Here is a 19389-nt window from a genome sequence, read left to right on the forward strand (position 1 = left end):
AATTAACTATACCGAGCTACATTATTACCTTATAGTCAGCTTTTCATTTCACTATCTCCAACTCTATCTGGTGGCTCTAATCTATAATCAGTAGTTATCTATTCTCTATGTTTTATAGTTTCATTCTCCTCCAGATGTAAAATCCAATGACAGAACAAAGTTCTGGCCAGTAGGGTCTTGTTATGGGCTAAATTGTGTCCCCCCCAAAATTCACAGGCTGAAGTCCTAATCCCAAGTACAGTAGAATGTGCCTGTATTTGGAGATAAGGCCTTCAGTGAGGTAACTAAAGTTAAATAAAGTCCCAAGGGCAGGTCCAACCCAATATGACTGCTGTCCTTATAAGTGGAAGAAATTTGGACACAGACATGTACAGAAGGAAGATCATATAGGGACACACAGAGAAGACAGCCATCTACAAGCCAAAGAGAAAGGCCTCAGAAGAAACCAATCCTACTGACACTTTGATCTCAAACTTCTAGCCTCCAGGACCGTGAGAAAACAGATGCCTTGTTTAAGCCATCCAGTTTGTGGTACTTTGTTATTACAGCCCTAGAAAACAAACATAAGAAGAGACACCTCTCTCTTGGTTGTGACCTTCGAGGAGAAAATGACATTGCTGCCCTCCATATTCATTGCTGCTAGAAGGAGGAGTAAGGTGGAAAGCATGCCTCATTCCAGCACACACACAATATCAGTGGCTCACACAGTGTTCCACTATCACCACCCACATGCCCAGTCCCACTGATACAAGTGGACAGATTTAGGACTTTCACAAGAAGAAAAGCACATTTCTCAGTAAATTAAACTAGATCATCAATGTTTCACCCTTATTTTTTTCTTTATACTCAAAGAAATATTAACAGCCTAATAAATCTCAGGTAGGTAGCTAAATACCTAAAAATTTTCCAGAGAAAGAGTAAGACCAAATTTACTCTTGATGTCTTGCCCCTAATCTTAGCACCAGTGACTATTGTACTAGATGTTTCCTCAAAGTTTTTATTCCAGGGGTCCAGCTCAGTATACCCAAGGGAAAGCAGACTTGGGTATACTCTTTTCAGAGAAGTCTAACAGTTGAGCCTGGAACCAAGGCTAGAATTCCTAAGAAGAAAGGCTTACTCATCAGATTTTCACAAAACAGCTCAATGCTTTTCATTTTTCCATTTATTTTTCATTTTCATTTTCATTTTTCCATTCATTCACTTTTTCAGGAAATATTTATTGTGCATCTAGTGTGTGCAAGGTTCTGTAGTAAGGGCCAGAGGTATAAATGATGATAAAGCATCAACATAACAAAAAACCATAAGAATTGTCCCCCCAGAAAGCTAGAGCATGAGGATTTCTAAGAAAAGGGAAGAGTGAGAAATCACAGAAATCAAAAATTTAGGATTATGAGAGAAAAAACATTCCAAAGATCAGCTGCCCTATTTTTTCCAGGACATTTTATCAGTTCAGGAAATCAAAATAAAAATATCACATCATTTGAACAGATATTCAGATGTGATGGGCAAACTATAGTCGTGTGACAGCTCACAAAGAGAGATAAATATTTTCCTCTGCCTCCTTCCCTCTCTGACAAATATGCTGATCGGCTCCTTTGCAACTCCCCCAAATACATACTATTTACATTCATTGAAGACAGCCAAATCGTTTTACAAGTGTATTTCAGTGTTTTGAATCTTCTAACATCAGGCAATCCCTGTTACTTTCTTTGAAACAAGTTTCCACTATGCAGAGAGAATAAATAAACACACTCTGTGCTGTTAGCAGGTTCACTCTGTTGTCTGGGTTGCGGGGAATGGAGGTGGTGGCAGTGGCAGCACTGATGGCGATGGCCGGGCTCAACCCGAAGGGAACAGTGCTGCTTTTTCTTGCAGCCCTGGGAGAGAATCGCAGAGTGCTGCAGGAAGAGGGAAGATCCTGAACCCACTCAAGAGAGCGCCTCAAGGGCAATGGTGTTCTCTCTTCAGGCACGTGATCGGGAACAAAGGAATCTTTATTCATCTCTTTCTGCTGTACTGGTTTGCTTTATATTCCTTATAAGCAGCTGAAAAAGACCATGAGCAGCCCTTTCAATCAGCTGAGGAAGAGAGGAAAGGTTTCAGAAGAGAGAAGCTGTCAATTCTGAGAATGGTTTATTCACATTATAGAATAATCTTTCAAGAAAAGAACTCTACAGGACTGATCTTTTAATTATAGAGGGATAAATACATCTGTGAAATCTACCAATTTCACTTTGGATTAAATACTCTTACTAAAAGCCAGATATTCAGTAAACAAAGATCTCAATTTGGAAATGGCTTTTCTCCCTAATACGTGTCTTCTAGCTAACGTCCTACCCCATTCCACCCCCAAATTCTAGTTGCTATTTGAGAAACAAAAATACATAACCTATTAGAGATGGAGTTTGAGGGTCTTAGATATGTTTCATTTGCTACCAAGCAAGCTCTGGATTCTCAAAAATGTTGATCAATTATCTGTGAATAATTTTAAGATCACAGTGTCTTATAGGGAATATTTTTTGATTTATCAAAGAATCTCAACATATTTAATCCTATGCACAAATCACATCCCAGCTGTGGTTGAGAAATACAAGCAAGAATCACAGTTAGAGTCTTTGGTGTACCTTCACGGTGCCAAAGACAGGGTGGGCAAAGATACACACTCCATAAATATTTATTTACAGAAATGACATTGTTCATAATTCCAGAAATTCCACCAAAATTTTAAATTGCAATTTCTTCTAGTTCTTTTTGGATGTAAAACAAGCATAGAAACAGTGCCTGGCTCCTAGCTGGTTGTGTCTTTCCTGGCTCATTTTTTATGTAGTGCCTCTGACTAAAACAGCCCAGAAGCAATTCTCTTGTCCACAAACAAGGGAGCCAACAGCTTTCTGTGGCCCTTTTCCATCTCCCAGTATTCTGGATGAGTCAACCCTCTTCCTTGGGGGTTTCTGGAGACTTTTGCAAGTGCCCATTTCAGAAAATCCCATTTCCACTTGAAGTATTTATCCCAGAAAAAGAAAAGATTAAAGAAAAAGAAAACCCTGAGTTTTCTCAAAAACTATTTATTTGCCATTGATGTTCCCGCTTACGTTTTGTGGAAATCCTTCTCTAACTTGATATTTACACAATATTGTAACATCTCCTTTTTGTGTTATTTCTTAACTTTGAAATAAATGGAGATTCTTTAATAGATGACATTTAGACAGATGTCATTCCAACAGTAGGCTGATTCTTCCTATTACTTAGAAATTGTTTAAATTCTGAGGCATTCTCATTTATGTCTATTGGCATCAGTTAACCTGTGGTTCCAAAAGCTAGTGCCAAGTTTTGGTTCTTCCTGTTTGCAAAATCAACCTTTCCCCATGTCAGCTGTTCCTAGGGTGGAGGCGGTCACAGAGTTCCCAGCAACACTTCTTGTCAATGTACCCTGTGGCGAACATCTCTTCTGTTCCCTAGATCTCATCCCTAGATCATTGTCCATTCTTCTCAGATGCTTCCCTCAGCATTCAGGGCCCAGGCTCCAGGAATCAACATTGCTTCAAAATAATCTCATAACTAGCTTCTAGACCAGTTTTCAGCCAGTCTCTTTTTAAATCTTCTTCACAAAAATTTTGAGGCTAACCCATCCGATTTTAATCTAAGTAAGGAGAGGACAAAGATTATTTACTTGACCAAATTTTGGGCAAGCTCCTGAAACTTCTCCTAGGCTCATCTGTGTACTTTCTTATAAAGTCCAGTTTTAACAAAGAATCCTGCTGAGTCAGTTTAGCAAGCACTTCCACCCTTGATATCCGAGCACCCTCTGTATCTGGCTGGGTTCCTCCTCCTCCACCATCCCCCAGGTGATGTCTGCTTACCCTGGCCTGTCTTCAGTAAGAATCCTGTTAGGTCAGTTTAGCCAGAATCCTCCCTTGCCCCTGAAGTTTCCTCTTAGTAATTTTTTTTATCTAATGACCCCCACCGTGCTTCTTCCATATAAATTCCCACTTGCCCATGCCGTATTCTGAGTTGAGCCCAATCTCTCTCCCCCACTGCAGAATCTGATTGCAGTGATCTCTATACCTATTAAGATGGTCCTGAATAAAGTCTCCCTTCCTGTGTTTTAACAAGTATCATTGACTAGTTTTTTTCTTTAACAGAAAGGAAGAGATGGTATCAAGACATTTTCTCTTTATTATGGGTAGGTATGATATCACCTGTGGTAACTTTCATTTGTTCTGTACTTCCATAAAGCTAAGGAGCTTGGCTGAATAGGCTCAGCAGCCAGCTCTGGGCCCACACAGTCCTCTGTTCATAGAGGGGAAAGTGTCAGCTCACAGTTCTTCACTCATTCTCTCCATTCTACTTTGTCATTCCTCTGCTGTTACACTGACCTGCTGCCAGGTAAATGAAACTGACTTTTTTATTTTTATTTTTTGAGACAGAGTCTCACTCTGTCACCCAGGCTGGAGTGCAAGTGGCATGATCATAGCTCACTGCAGCCTAGTACTCCTGGGCTCAAGTGATCCTCCCACCTAGCCTTCCAAAAACCTCCACAGGTGCACACCACTACATTCGGCTTTTTTTGTTTTGTTTTGTTTTGTACACAGGGGGTTTCCCTTGTTGCCCAGGCTAGTCTCCAACTCCAACTCCTGGGCTCAAGCAATCCTCCTACCTTAGCCTCCCAAAGTGCTGGGATTACAGGCGTGAGCCACCACATCCAGCCATAAACTCTGACCTCTTGGGCAGATGGAATTTCCCTCAAACATAGTAGATTCCCCTGGCATAGGGTAGAGGGGGGATCCTTGAGAAAAACTGGATCATATTCTGCATGGCATATATTTCAAATATTATATTCTTACACTGTATTGTATATATTAGTTTGTAATTCTGTTTTCCCCTCTAAAGTGTCAACTTCATCAGGGGATGTTACCTCCTTAAAGGAAAAAGTATATTTTATTTATCATGGTTTTCTCAGTGCCTTACACATTGTAGATGCTCAATAAGTAATTGTCCATCTTCATGTACTGTTGTTCTTTTACACGGTCCTCAGGAACTCAGCAGAGGGGACTTGAGACAAAGGAAAGGAGCTTAATGGACCTCCCTCACAGGAATAACATTTAATAAAATAAGACAATAGGAGAGTAGGCCTGGGAACCATAAAGAAAGAAACCCCTAAAACAAGATTCAGGGAGGGGAACTATAGAAAAGAGGGAACAACCAAGGGCCATGTGTCAGCAATAAGAGATAAATATCTTAGAAAGTACTGATCTAAGACAAGCCCAGATCCCCCAAGTGCCATTTCAGAGCTTAAAGCAACTGCAAAAGACGAGGAACGGACTTTATCAGTAAGGGTCATGTTCCTCACCTCACTCCCACATTACACCCTACACACATCTCCCTCACTCCACAGGGACTTGATGAATATCATCTGTCAGCCTCCTTCCTTTCCTGGTTTCTCAATGAGCCTGTTTCCCTTCTCTTCCTTTATAAACCCCCCCCCGCCACATGCATTCTTTGATCTTGATAGGGCCTTATCTATCCCATATCCTCTGAAAGATAACCAGCTACTCAGAATGGCCTCTTCCTCACCACTGTCAGTTCCACCCCCGGCCACCTTGGCAGCAGTTCCAATCTTGCTTCACCTTACTCGCCACAGGCATTTAAGCACACCCAATGGGCCTAATCTTTACTGACCAGCAATGCCTGAGTAACTGATTTGAATAACCTAGATTTTTTTCTCTCTGGCCTGTAAAGAATTTCATGGAAAACCCACAGGCCTCTGCTGCTGGCTGCCATGATGAATAGCCATGTTTATTTTTCTGGTGTCTCTGTCTGTTTCTATTACACTGATGTGCTGTGTCCTGGTATCTCTACCTCTATTACATGGATGCACTGTGTTCTGGGAGTCTGACAAAATAAAAATATAACAATAACAACAACAGAAACCCTGCAAAATCTGGAGGATATCTTAAAATGACAGCCATCGTTGTCAGGACTATAGCATAGAAGGAGAGAGCTTGGGCATCTACCAATCTTGGATTTGAATCTTAGCTCTATTATAAGACTTTTTGCAAATTACTGAATCTCGCTGAGCCTTAGTTTTTTTAATCTGTAAAAGAGGACAAGAATACCACCTTCCTCGCAGGGTTACTGTGTACTTTTAACCATTCTGCCCACTACACAACTGCAATCCAAAAACATTGCACTTGGTTCCTCCTTCACTTATTTCCAAGAGATCCATGAGATCCCTGGTATCACAGAGTGAACCATGCTAGCCTAAAGGAGATACCATCCGAGTTCTGTTCATTATTTTTAACTATATTTAAGTGTATTTGATTCTTCAACAACTAGAGCCTAATTTTTTTGTATTCAATGGAATTTTTTTCAGGAAAAGAATCTGCACTAATTTATATGACTGATATACAGAGTAAACATAAAGGTTCACGAAGCCAGTGGTTCACAAACTGAGGACTACACATACCCTGGAGGCCTCAAGGAACACAAATTCATGCACTCGTTACGATTCATGTGAGGACTGAGTGAACAATGCTATGTAAACACACACAGATATATCCACATATATTCATATATATGCAACATTGCTGTTTCAAATATAGGTTGTTTATATAGAGGCTATTAATAAAATATATTTTAAAGTGTTATTTAATTTATAAAAGCTTTTATCATTGCCTATTTTCTCAGCCAACATTTGCTATTATAACACGTTGTGGTTCTACATTTTAATATTAATATTAATAATTAAATTGTGACACTGTTATTACTAGTAATGTCTATTATTAATTGTTAATAATAATAGCCAACATTTATTATGTGCCAGGCACTGTTCTAATGACTTAACATACATTATGTACTCACATACTCATTAAATCCTCACATGATCCTATACAGTAGACCTATTATCATTTCTAATTTATGTATTAGGAAACGGAGGCACAGAGAGGTGATGTTAACTTGCCACAGAGCTGGTAAGTGGCAGAGCTGGGATTCAAGCTCAGATATCTGGTTCCAGAGTCCAAGCCCTCTGTTTTCACATTTAATCAGTGGAGAACTCAGGTTTGCAATCATATATTGGTGTCACTGTTTTTAACCAAAAAATTATTTGTGACCTTGACGTTGATTTTATTTTCTATGAAAATGAGCATATTTCTAAGAAGATACAAACTTTGATATATGTGTGTACACTGGCATATATACAACCAGACGTACAACCAGGAAATCTGTGATAACTAAATTCAAACAAAATAATAATAGCTGAACAATGAGAACACAGGGACACAGGGAGGGAACAACATACACTAGGGCCTGTTGTGGGGGTGGGGGAAGGGAGAGCATCAGGATAAATAGCTAATGCATGCGGGGCTTAACTCCTATGTGATGAGTTGATAGGTACAGCAAACCACCATGGCACACATTTACCTATGTAACAAACATGCATGTCTTGCACATGTATCCCAGAACTTAAAATAAAATTAAATAATAATAATAATAAAAACAGTTCATGCTGGCTGGTCTGCCTACATATGCTCCAATCCAAGTAAGTCACATGGGCCAGAGTAAGTTTCCATTAATGGCATTTCCTTTGATTCTCATTTTGTCACCATCTTGCTGCTTTCACTTTTCTCTGCCTCTGTTAGGTAATTGGCTTTCCAATATTGAGCTATTTGATCCAATATTGAGCTATTTCCTAAATTGGGAGGTAACAACAACAGAAGCAACAACTACTGAGGAAGTTAAATGCAATAAAAATAGAATGACACATTTCAACTTTTCACCTCTCCACTTGAGATACATGAACAGTCACACTCACCTTCCATTTAGTTGATTGAACTTTCGAGAACATTCATTGACTCTCTGCCATGTGCCAGAAATTATGTTTGGAGCTGTAAATATGTGAATAGAACTAACAATGCACCAATACAGCACTGTCTAAAAGATTCCAGGCAGGCCATTCACTCAACTTATAACTGTATTGCAAGATAGAATGTCATCAATACCATTCACGGGACAAAATTCTATATGAGAATTGTCATTCTGAACAAGAAGCGGTAACTCCAAAAGAATTAGTCATCTGATAGGAAGCCTTCCTTTCTACTCTCTCCCAAGAGCTCTCTGTAGCATTCCTGTAGCCACCTGGAATCCACATTCAGATCAGCAAGGCAAGACCTCCTTATGCAGATCAGAGAGGCAAGACCCCCTTACACGACTGTGGCCACTTTTACTCCAGAAACAAATTCATTTAGGCTGACCTAAAAGGTGACCTTTTTAATCCATGTTCTCTGCTGATCTCCTCCACTTCCTCCCAGTTTTTCTTTCTTTAATTCAGTATTTTTTCTCCTCACCTTTCTCTTCTTCATTGTCCTCCTTCTCTTAAGGTATGCTATTCCCCAGGATTATTTCCACGAGGTGACTAATGTCATATTGTGTGATGCTTCTTAGTTACCATTTCAGAAAGTGACATTTTTCAACCCTGTCTCCAAATTCTGAGGATTGGTGCTATTTAGAAATGTATAGCCCCTTAAGCCTTAAATATTCTATATTTGATGGCCCTAAATCATCCTTTCTTGTCCTTCTGAATCAGAATGAGTCAGAAGTTGGATAAAATATCAATGTCAAAAACAACTTTAGAAAAAGTAAGGAATCCAAAGAAAGGTTTGATGTGAAGAAAAACATAAACAATGAGACAATCACCTGCAGGAACTCCCACTACACAGACACCTAGGATACACGGACTCTTTGGGAAAGTATACTACAGACAGCATACTGAAAGTATAAAGAAATAACTATTCTGGGTGAATAGCTACAATGGCACTGATCTGTAGTCTTTCCCCCATAAATCCTAGAATTTTTACTTTTTCTTAGCACTCTAGTACTCCTATTAATTCATTTGCAAACTTTCCACTTTTATTGAGCCCCAGTCTTTTGGGCTAAAAATATTTGGGCTGATTTTGCCCCTGGAATATAAAAGTAGATGTTACATTTAAAGTTCAGAAGAATAGTCCACTGAACTTTCTATGCTTCATTTGAGAGGACAGTGTTGATGCTGACTCTTTAACAAACTTGGCAAGGTATGTTTAAGAAGTAATTCTAATTTTTATTTGTATTGTATAAAAGACAATGTGATCAAGTGAGAAGGTCATGTAGAATACGAGAGATTTCTGTGTTCTAGGTTGAGCTTTCTAACTATCTAGGATTAAGTTGGTTAAGTCATTTCACCTCTCTGGCTTCAGTTTTCTCACCTGTATTTAGTACATAGAAGGTGTTCTGTAAATATTTGTTGAGTGAATGAATTAGTAATAGATACTACTTTGTAAGATTATCATAAAGAGCTAGACTTTAAGCTCCTAGTGGAGTAAGCAGTCATGGCTATCTTGGTTACCACTGTATTCCCCAGCACATTCCCAGGTGTATAGCAGAATCTCATCAAAAACATGGTGAATTCCCCATGCTCTCACTTACAAGTGGGAGCTGAACAATGAGAACACCTGGACACAGGGAGGGGAACAACACACACTGGGGCCTGTCAGGGAGTTAATGGAGGGAGAGTATCAGGATAAATAGCTGATGGATGCTGGGCTTAATACCTAGGTGATGGGTTGATAGGTGCAGCAAACCACCACAGCACACATTTACCTATGTGACAAACATGCACATCCTGCACATATATCCTGGAACTTAAAATAAAATCAAATTTAAAAAAACATGGTGAATTAATGAGTAAATGCACAAATTAATAAATTTTATAATAGTTTCCCTATTTTACGAAGTTATTAAGAATAACTTGATTTTAGGTTCCCTGTGAAGACAAACCATGTTGATTATATTTACCACTGTTTCTCCAATGCCTGACAACACTCTGGCATTTGTGGATGTTCAATAAGCAATTTTTAATTAATGAATGCTCAGTAAAAATAGATGTAAAATTACTTCAAAAAGTACTAACTACAAATACCAACAGCAGGCATTAAGAGTCTGTTTCCCCCACATGCCAACACCAATAATCCCTGTAGAGAGATGACTGGCCTGAGATAGGTGTCATCTCTATCGGCTGAAACAATTTACTCCAAAGAACATGAGGCATAATGATTTAGAAGAGGATGAGGCAGAATCTGCTAACTCACAGCTGGCTCTCAGGCTGGAAACAGCCCCATGGTAAAGCTCAATACAGTCCAAGGATATACAGTGGCAGTAGTTACCTTTCTAAGGAACATAATCCAGATGGTATTCATTTCCAGATCCAAGTAACAGAAAATCCTGACTTAGTGGGGCCAGACCACAAAGAACATGTACTATCTCAGATTGCAAGAAGCAGACCAGCTTCAAGTGGGTAAAGTCCGGGGCTCAACATCATTATCAATGAGCCAGGTTATTTTCTTCTTTCAGCTCTGCCATTCCCTGGGATGTGCCCAGCTGGTTACTCTGAGTTTAAAAATGTCTGTCACATGGGCGCCTGTAGTCCCAGCTACTCGGGAGGCTGAGGCAGGAGAATGGCGTGAACCCAGGAGGCTAGAGCTTGCAGTGAGCTGAGATCGCGCCACTGCACTCCAGCCTGGGCAACAGAGCGAGATTCTGTCTCAAAAAAAAAAAAAGTCTGTCACAGACGCAGACATTACTGGATGACGCATGTAGTCGAAGAAGAGGGGGTAAGTTTTTCCTGTAACTCATTTTTATCAGCAAAGAAACCATCTCAGGAGCTTCCCAGGTGAGCTCTCCTCAGATCCCACTGGCTGGAACTATGTCACATTTCCATTCCTAAACCAATCAGCAACAAGCAAATGAAACTATTAAAATTGGCTTAGACGTGTCAGGATTTATCCCTAGACCAGAAGATAGAGGGAATCTTCCATGAGATTTATGGGAGAGGGAGGTGGCAATCAGGAAGAAGAAGCTGTAGGAATCTGGCAATTAGATAAGCAAAATTGTCTGCTACAGAGATAAAATATTTGTGCTTTCAAAAGTGTCATTTAATGAATCTAATTAAGATTTTATGGGTCTAACACACGTACGTGTATGTTCATCACAGTGCTTTTCACAATAGCAAAGACATGGAATCAACCTAGGTGCCCATAAAAGGTAGATTGGATAATGAAAATGTAGTACATATACACCATGGACTACCATGCAGCCATAAAAAAGAATGAAATCGGTCAAGAGCTCTAGACCATCCTGGCCAATATGGTGAAACCCCGTCTCTACTAAAAATACAAAAATTAGCTGGGCGTAGTGGCATGCATCTGTAGTCCCAGCTACTTCAGAGGCTTGAAGAATCGCTTGAACCCGGGAGGCGGAGCTTGCAGTGAGCGGAGATCGCGCCACTGCACTCCAGCCTGGCGACAGAGCAAGACTCCGTCTCAAAAAAAAAAAGAATGAAATCATGTCCTTCACAACAACACGGATGCACCTGGAGGTTATTATCCTAAGCAAACTAATGCAAAAATTGAAAACCTAATATTGCATGTTCTCACTTGAGTGGTAGATAAATCTTGGGTTCACATGGACATAAAGATGGGAACAATAGACACTGGGGACTCCAAAAGGAGCGACAGAGAGAGAGACAAGGGCTGTAAAACTTCCTATTGAGTTCTATGTTCACTATCTGGGTGACGGGATCAATAGAAGCCCAACCTCAGCACCACACCAATATGCCCTCATAACAAACCTGCACATCTACTTCCTGACATCTAAAATGAAAACGGGGGTGAAAATTTCCTTTCTCGACACTTTCATAAGAAAACACCAAGTTAATCAAATTTCCCACCCTCTTGATATAACTAAATGTTCCCTGTGGATTCCAGTCCACTTTAATCTAAAAGGATATTAAAGAGGTAAGCACATTTTCTGCAATCTTACAAAGCCATTTAGCAATAAAAATTTGTGCTGAAGTGGGAAACTCATATAAAAGAGTTCATTTTTGATATGAAAAAGAATAATTTCATTACTTGCATAGAGAATATGATTTTCAAATTCTTGAAATTATAGTATAAAACATAAACCCTAAGGGGCCAAACATTATATTCCTGATAGACAATTACAGCATTAAACTTCCATCCATATGATAACATTTATATCTTTGGTGACAATCCATTTTCTTTTCCAATTAATCTGTATTCCCCTATCACACATATAAAAAAAGATGCTGTTGGTCTAAGACTTCAAAAATTGACATTTCGTCTTCAATAAAAACCCAGAGGAAGGCAGCTAAAAAAGTTCTACAGTATTAAACTTTTCCAGTGGATAAAATGCTCAACAATGGATGTTGCTTCCATTTATAAGTCACACCTACTCCAGTAGCTCTCAAATATTGTTGCCTTTGAGCCACAGTAAATAAATATATATCTCACAACCCTACACATACACATACACGTCAAACCTTCAAGGAAACAACATTGGCCCGTACTACTTTTGAATCATACTTCTGTGTTCTATCCTATACTGTTTCACTTTTTTTACCTGCTCATCCCAACCTAGTAAATTGATTTCAGGATCCAATAACGGGATACAACCCTCTGTTTAAAAAACATCACTTATTCAAGCCTCTGGAAAATCTCACTATTCTTTTTTATAATATAAACAACATGACATGGCATTATTTATGAAATGCAATCACAATACTATTTCATTTAATCCCGTGGGAATCATTATTAACTTCATTTTATAGCTGAGAAAACAGACAGTATAAGTGATTTGTCAGGACCACACAGCCAGTGAGTGCTGGAGGTTAGAACAGCGGGATGTGGCAGACCTCAAAAGTCAGAGTCCTGATTTGAAATAGATGTTTTAAAAGAAAAAAAAATAGATACGATATTTACTGCAGTAAAGTCTTTAGGTTTCTTCAATTGGCAGCTGTAAAAATAAAAGCATAATTCTCACACTGGTCTAATTAAAAACGGCCAAGTACAATTGTTCATGGCTAATTACCTCTGTCAGACCAAATGGAGAGTCATACAATTCATGAGACAGTCCATTAGACCTAATTAAGGGAAATTATTTCGAGACGACTCTGAGGCAATATTAGAGGATGTTTTATGCTAAGATTTCTAAAATGTTTTGTAGCAAATACAGCTTATGAACCAAAGGAGAAACCACAAAACTGCAACTCTGATCTAGAGCGATTCAAACACTCAGTCTGCCCCATCCTCTCTTCTCCCCTAACTCCAGGGAGGGGTTGGCCCTAAAGATTTTCTGTCAGTCATCGAAGTGTCTTTTCTGTATGACATTAAAGTTATTATTTGTACTATTAAATAGTAAGCAGGAAAATTCCTTTGAGCTCCACGTGTAACATTTACTCTTCTAGACAAAGGGCAAAACCACCTAAAGAATTGTCAGCCCGAAGACACAAAGATGAACAATGAACTCTCTGCTTCTCAGTTTAGACAACAGAGGCACTGCAGGCCAAATTCACATCATGACACATGACACACAAACGTTCTCTTCAATCTCCTTTAAAAGAAAATAGAGCAGAGGCTTTCTTGCATCTCCCTTTGACTGGCGGGGAGACATTCAATAACGCCTTGCTCCATCCCTGTACTACCCAGCTTTCGAAGTGTCACAGGTGAGAAAGTTAACCAGTGAAGGACAACCGAGCAGCTGTGGGAAACAGAGAGGAGAGGAAGCAGGGGCCGGGGATAAACAATTGCAGGGTCACTGGAACGTTGTCCTCCATCCACTCTGACAGATGAAAGGCTGACAGGCCCACTATTTGTGGTACAGAGGTCACAATGCCCCATGATTAACTGTGCCGAAAGCGTACTTAAATCCGAGATGTCCTGCACAAATAGGAAAGCATTGTCCTCACTCACCTCAGTGGAGGCTGTCAGATGCCCAAACTATTCTGGCTTCCTTGTCTCAGTAATACTTTTCAAAAACCCATGAAACTCAAAGGGATCTGAATCCACAAGATCATATTTTTCAGAACCAAATACCAGAACTTGAAGTCCATCAAAGGTGTGTTGTTGTTTTATTTTTTATTTGCATGAAAAGTTGTGTATGACTACGTAACCAAGTTGCATTGGTATAGATTCTAAAAATCACTTATATTAAATAGAATAAAATCACATGAGGTAGATGCTGCCCTAGAAAACCCAGGGTATGCAGCCTTCAGGAAATCAAAATAGTAAAAGTATTGCAGATTTGCCTCTGTGAAGTTTGGTAGAGACCATTTCTACTCCCCACAACAGTAGAACATTCAAAACAGGATCATATACATTGAAAAAAAAGGAACCTTCATTTAGACATTTCCCTGACTCCCCCATTAAAACACAGACTCTATGGAGACAAATAAAATGTCGATTTCTCTGATAACTTTCTCACAAGATTTATAGTGCTTTATATATGCTATAGACAATACTAATATGTGTTTATTTGATGCATTGTTTGAGACTGTGGTAGAATCTTTACCAGAGAAAGAACAAATTTTTACAAGTTTGAGTTTATATTTGGGTTACAAATCTAGAAAATTTACTCTGTGGGAAGGGAAATATATTCACCCATCATTCTGTGAGCTGTCCTTGTCAGCATGTCAATATAATCAGCTCCCCTGGCTCATCTAGAAAAGTCAGTAAGTCTGGGATCACAAAGAACAAGAATCCCAAGAGGGACTCAGGTACCCCACTGGAAATTAGAGAGTACATAAAGAAATAATCAATTAGACAGTGAAGCTGTGAAGCAGAAAGGACACTCTATACTCCCAGTCCGTGGCGTCCTGTGAGACCAGTAAAACCACAAGAGCCCGGCCGGGCGCGGTGGCTCACGCCTGTAATCCCAGCACTTTGGGAGGCCGAGGCGGGCGGATCACGAGGTCAGGAGATAGAGACCATCCTGGCTAACAATGTGAAACCCCGTCTCTACTGAAAATACAAAAAATTAGTCGGGCGTGGTGGTGGCCGCCTGTAGTCCCAGCTACTCGGGAGGCTGAGGCAGGAGAATGGCGTGAACCCCGGAGGTGGGGCTTGCAGTGAGCCGAAATCACGCCACTGCACTCCAGCCTGGGCGACAGAGCGAGACTCTGTCTCAAAAAAAAAAAAAAAAACAAAAAAAAAAACCCACACACTCAAGAGCCTAAGATGGAACCTCTCCCTCAGGTAGCCATGCCAAGTAGGCTAACTTAGGGATAGATAACTACCAGAACTCCACTCCTGTGGGTGCCCAGAGCCATGGGAGCTCTATCTACTTCATGAACTCCTTTGGGTAAGCCTGCCCACAGAATGACCTTGCACCAGTAAAGGCAGTTTGGGGAGTACCAACCCTAGAGATGCTAGTACCTAGAAAGGGTATAGTATCCAAGGGAGATCCTGGTTCCTGTGATCTTAGGAACATGCAAGAGTTTTGTGTCCTGGGACTAAGAGGGCTAAGAAATCAGAGTCTCTCATAAACTTTCTAACACTCAGAAGTGTCGATACTATTGACAAACATGCACTACAGTCCAGGTAACGTTACAATCATTGTGTTACTATTAATGCATTTAGTCATCACAACTACTCTCTGAGGACAGTAATCATTATTATGTCCATTTTACAGATGAGGACACCGAAGTTTCTCAAGAGTAAATAAATTACTCAAGTTCACAAAACTATGGTAGAACCAGAGGCCCAACCCAGGAAGTCTGTCCACAGACCTGAGGCTCTTAATCATGACTTTCTACATCTACATGTGCAGTATACATGTGTACATGTGTGTGTCTGTGTGTGTGTGTTACGATGATATTCAATCCACACATTGTCATAGAAACTGAATTGTCCTAAGGCATATACTTTTAGCAGCAGTACCTAACATTCACAAAAAGAATGGTAAGCATGATAAAAAAGAAAAAATAACAGGTCAAAGAATTGCCAAACCTACAGTGCAGATTAAAGAAATTCCCCTACAGATTCAGTGGGTCTCCAGAGGATTTGGTCTATCCAATAAACAAAATGCTTTCCCCCAGAGGAGTCATTCACATTAATAACCGTGAGCATGGAGTAGAATTTTACTTGGCTGGACTTTGTCTATTGAATACTTCACTTAATGCTGTGGATCAGACCAAGGAACAAAAATGAATTTCAGCTTTGTTGAAATCAGATCCCCAATTTCCTTGGTTGTCAATGTGATTAATAGGAGACCCAAATCACCTTAATAGAGAAGCAACACTCTCTACCCTCATCCTGATGCTGAGTGAGGAGGGGGCATCACTGAAGTAGGTAAGGATGGAGCAGATGTCTGGGTACCGGCAGTGTCTTTCCCTTTTGTGTACCACTGTGCCCTGCTTCAAAGCCATAAACAAACTGAGCAGAAAGGCTCAAGATAAATGACCTGATACCATTTAATGCCTTCAGGGAGATGGATGCCTAAATCCATGAGATCCATAATTTTTGGCTACATCTTTTGCATTTCCAGGGACAAAGCTTCCATGTTGTCCTTGGGTACCCCCATCTAAGCGTTTTACAACACCAATAGTAAAACAATTCTACTTTCTGCCCAAGCGTAACATTTAGTTTAAATTAAATCCATTTCCTTTGAATGTTCCATGAGCTTAGAAAACTGTTTTGCGCCCTCATAGTAATACCTATTACTGCAGGCAAAGCAATATTGTTTCTTTGCACTTTTCATTATGTATCATTTTTGTTATATTTCTTGGGGATTTCTCTAAGCTTCTTGTGTTTAATTTTGGGGTTTTTTTTCCTTTGCTCCATATTAAAATATTTTTTAAATCATATTGAAATAATACATGTTTATGGTGGAAAATTGAGAAATATGAAAAATCCCAAAGGAGAAATTTTTCAAAACCCATAATCCTGCTTCTCAGAGCTAATAACTATTTTGACGTATATCTTCCAGTCTCATAAGCCAATGCACATATGTGCTTTGGAGACTATTTTCCCTGTCACTAATTATTACCCCTACAGGGTAGGCATCTTCAACCTGAGTCTGTGTATAGACTTTACATAGTCCATGAAATTATACACAAAATTACAGACAAAATTTTATGTAGGTACGTATGTGCTTTCTTCCCAAGAAGGCAGTTGACTGCTTTCACCAGATGCCCAAAAGGGTGTATGAACTGAAAACAGTTAAAAATTCTTATTTAGCATCATGATTTTAATAGCCATATAACATTCTACCTTTTCTTTTTTCTTTTTTTTCTTTTTTTTTTTTTTTGAGACAGAGTCTCACTCTGTCCCAGGCTGGAGTGCAGTGGTGCGATCTCAGCTCACTGCAACCTCCGCCTCCCAGGTTCAAGCGATTCTCCTCCCTCAGCCTCCCGAGTAGCTAGGACTACAGGCACGGGCCACCATGCCCAGCTAATTTTTGTATTTTTAGTAGAGACAGGGCTTCACAGTGTTGGCCAGGATGGTCTCGATATCCTGACCTCATGATCCATCCACCTTGGCCTCCCAAAGGGCTGGTATTACAAGCCTGAGCCACCGTGCCTAGCCAACGTTTTACCATATTACCCGATCTTGCTATATAAATTATATTGCAATAAACACTTTGTAGCTAAATTTTGCATCTGTCTCCAGTGATTTCTTTTGAGAAAAAAAAATACTGAAATTGGAATTGCTCCAAGAATATTCACAGCTAAAGGTTTTTAATACATGTTGTCAAATTGCCTTGTAGAAAGGTGGTATCATTAGGAGTTCCATCAGAAGTATATGAAAATATACTTGCTTCAAACTAGCACTAACACAGAGGATTATTTTTTTTTTTTTTTTTTTTTTTTTTTGAGACGGAGTTTCGCTCTGTCGCCCAGGCTGGAGTGCAGTGGCGCGATCTCGACTCACTGCAAGCTCCGCCTCCCGGGTTCACGCCATTCTCCTGCCTCAGCCTCCCGTGTAGCTGGGACTACAGGCACGCGCCACCATGCCCGGCTAATTTTTGTATTTTTAGTAGAGACGGGGTTTCACCGTGTTAGCCAGGATGGTCTCTATCTCCTGACCTCGTGATCCGCCCGTCTCGGCCTCCCAAAGTGCTGGGATTACAGGCGTGAGCCACCGCGCCCGGCCGGATTATTTTTTAACTTTGCCAATTTTATTGGCTAAACTAAAATACTAATATTTGAGACTTTTTCTTTTTAAGTTCAGGGAGCAATATTATTTGTAGCACAGTCATGGCTGATGTACTCAGAGCATAGAGGAAGAATTACATCTGCCCTGGATGGTCTTAGCTTTATTCCCCCACAATGACATGATATTGCTGATTCATGATCAGCAATGATCATGATCGTTGATCATAGATCAGCCCTGACCCACAGGTCTTTTAAAGCAGTGATGGTGGCTAGCCAATTCTATAATTATTTTTATGGTTTATATAAGTCCTTACTCTCACCCTTATATAATTGGATTTCATCCTGTTTGCCTAGGGTTGTGCTTCCTATTTAATAATATCACACTGGTCTGTTTGATGTTACATCACCTATAGGCTAAATAAGCACACCTTCAACACCTTTAGTCAAGACGTCAATGATTCCAAGGGCGATAAGACCACTTGACATTTGCCCCTCACATTGATACCAGGTCATTGGAAACTACGCTTCTGGGAGAATCATCAGGGAAATGTTCTACTTGCCTAATCACAGAAACTCTACAACTAGACTCTGGCTAAACAGAACATAAATTATACTGAAATCAATAAAGACAGGGTGAGCAAAAAGCCTTTGTCATGATTAAGAGTGTATGCACTTGCAGTTACATATCTGGGTTAAATGCCAACTCCTCCATTTGCTGTCTATATAACCCTAGGCAACTACTTCCACATGTCTAAGCTTTTCACACATAAAACAGATTTATAGGCCAGACACAGTGGCTCACACTTGTAATCCCAACACTTTGGGAGGCTGAGGCAGAAGGATTGCTTGAGCCCAGGAGTTTGAGGCCACCCTGGGCAACATAGTGAGATCCCATCTCAATAAAAAATAAAAAATTAGCCAGGAATAGTGGTGCATGCCTGTAGTCATACTCAGGATGTTGGGTTGGGAGGATCACTTGAGCCTTGGAGGTGGAGGCTACAGTGAGCCATAATTGCACCACTACACTCCAGCCTAAACAACAGAGTGAGACCCTGTCTCAAAAAAACAAAAACAAAAACAAAACAGATTTATAAAGAAATTTGCCTGGCATGGTTGCATGCTCCTGTGGTCCCAGCTACTCAAGAGGCTGAGGTGGGAGGATTGCTTGAGCCCAGGAGTTCAAGGTTGTAGCGAGTTATGATCATGCTACTGTACCCCACCTCTAAAAAATAATATTTTAAAAATAATAAAAAGAAACTTGTTTGGTGAATATGTCAAGAGCATGCCTTCATGTTGGTTGCTGTGAAGTTGCAATATTCTTTCTACACAGTATTTTGCAGACTCCCCTATATAAATCAGTAACCACCACCTCCATACCACACACTCTCTGTCTCCCTTATCATGCC

The 19389-nt window shown here is 40.0% G+C and overlaps 1 annotated feature.

Moving 5' to 3' along the window:
• Window positions 526-820: a silencer, noted in NCBI's record as "tiled region #12950; K562 Repressive DNase matched - State 8:EnhW". NCBI's record gives its function as "represses a minimal TATA promoter and a strong SV40 promoter by Sharpr-MPRA in K562 cells {active_cell/tissue: K562}" and the evidence as "EXISTENCE:reporter gene assay evidence [ECO:0000049][PMID:27701403]".

Source organism: Homo sapiens, chromosome 12 (genome assembly GCF_000001405.40).
Source record: "Homo sapiens chromosome 12, GRCh38.p14 Primary Assembly".
Taxonomy (NCBI): domain Eukaryota; kingdom Metazoa; phylum Chordata; class Mammalia; order Primates; family Hominidae; genus Homo; species Homo sapiens.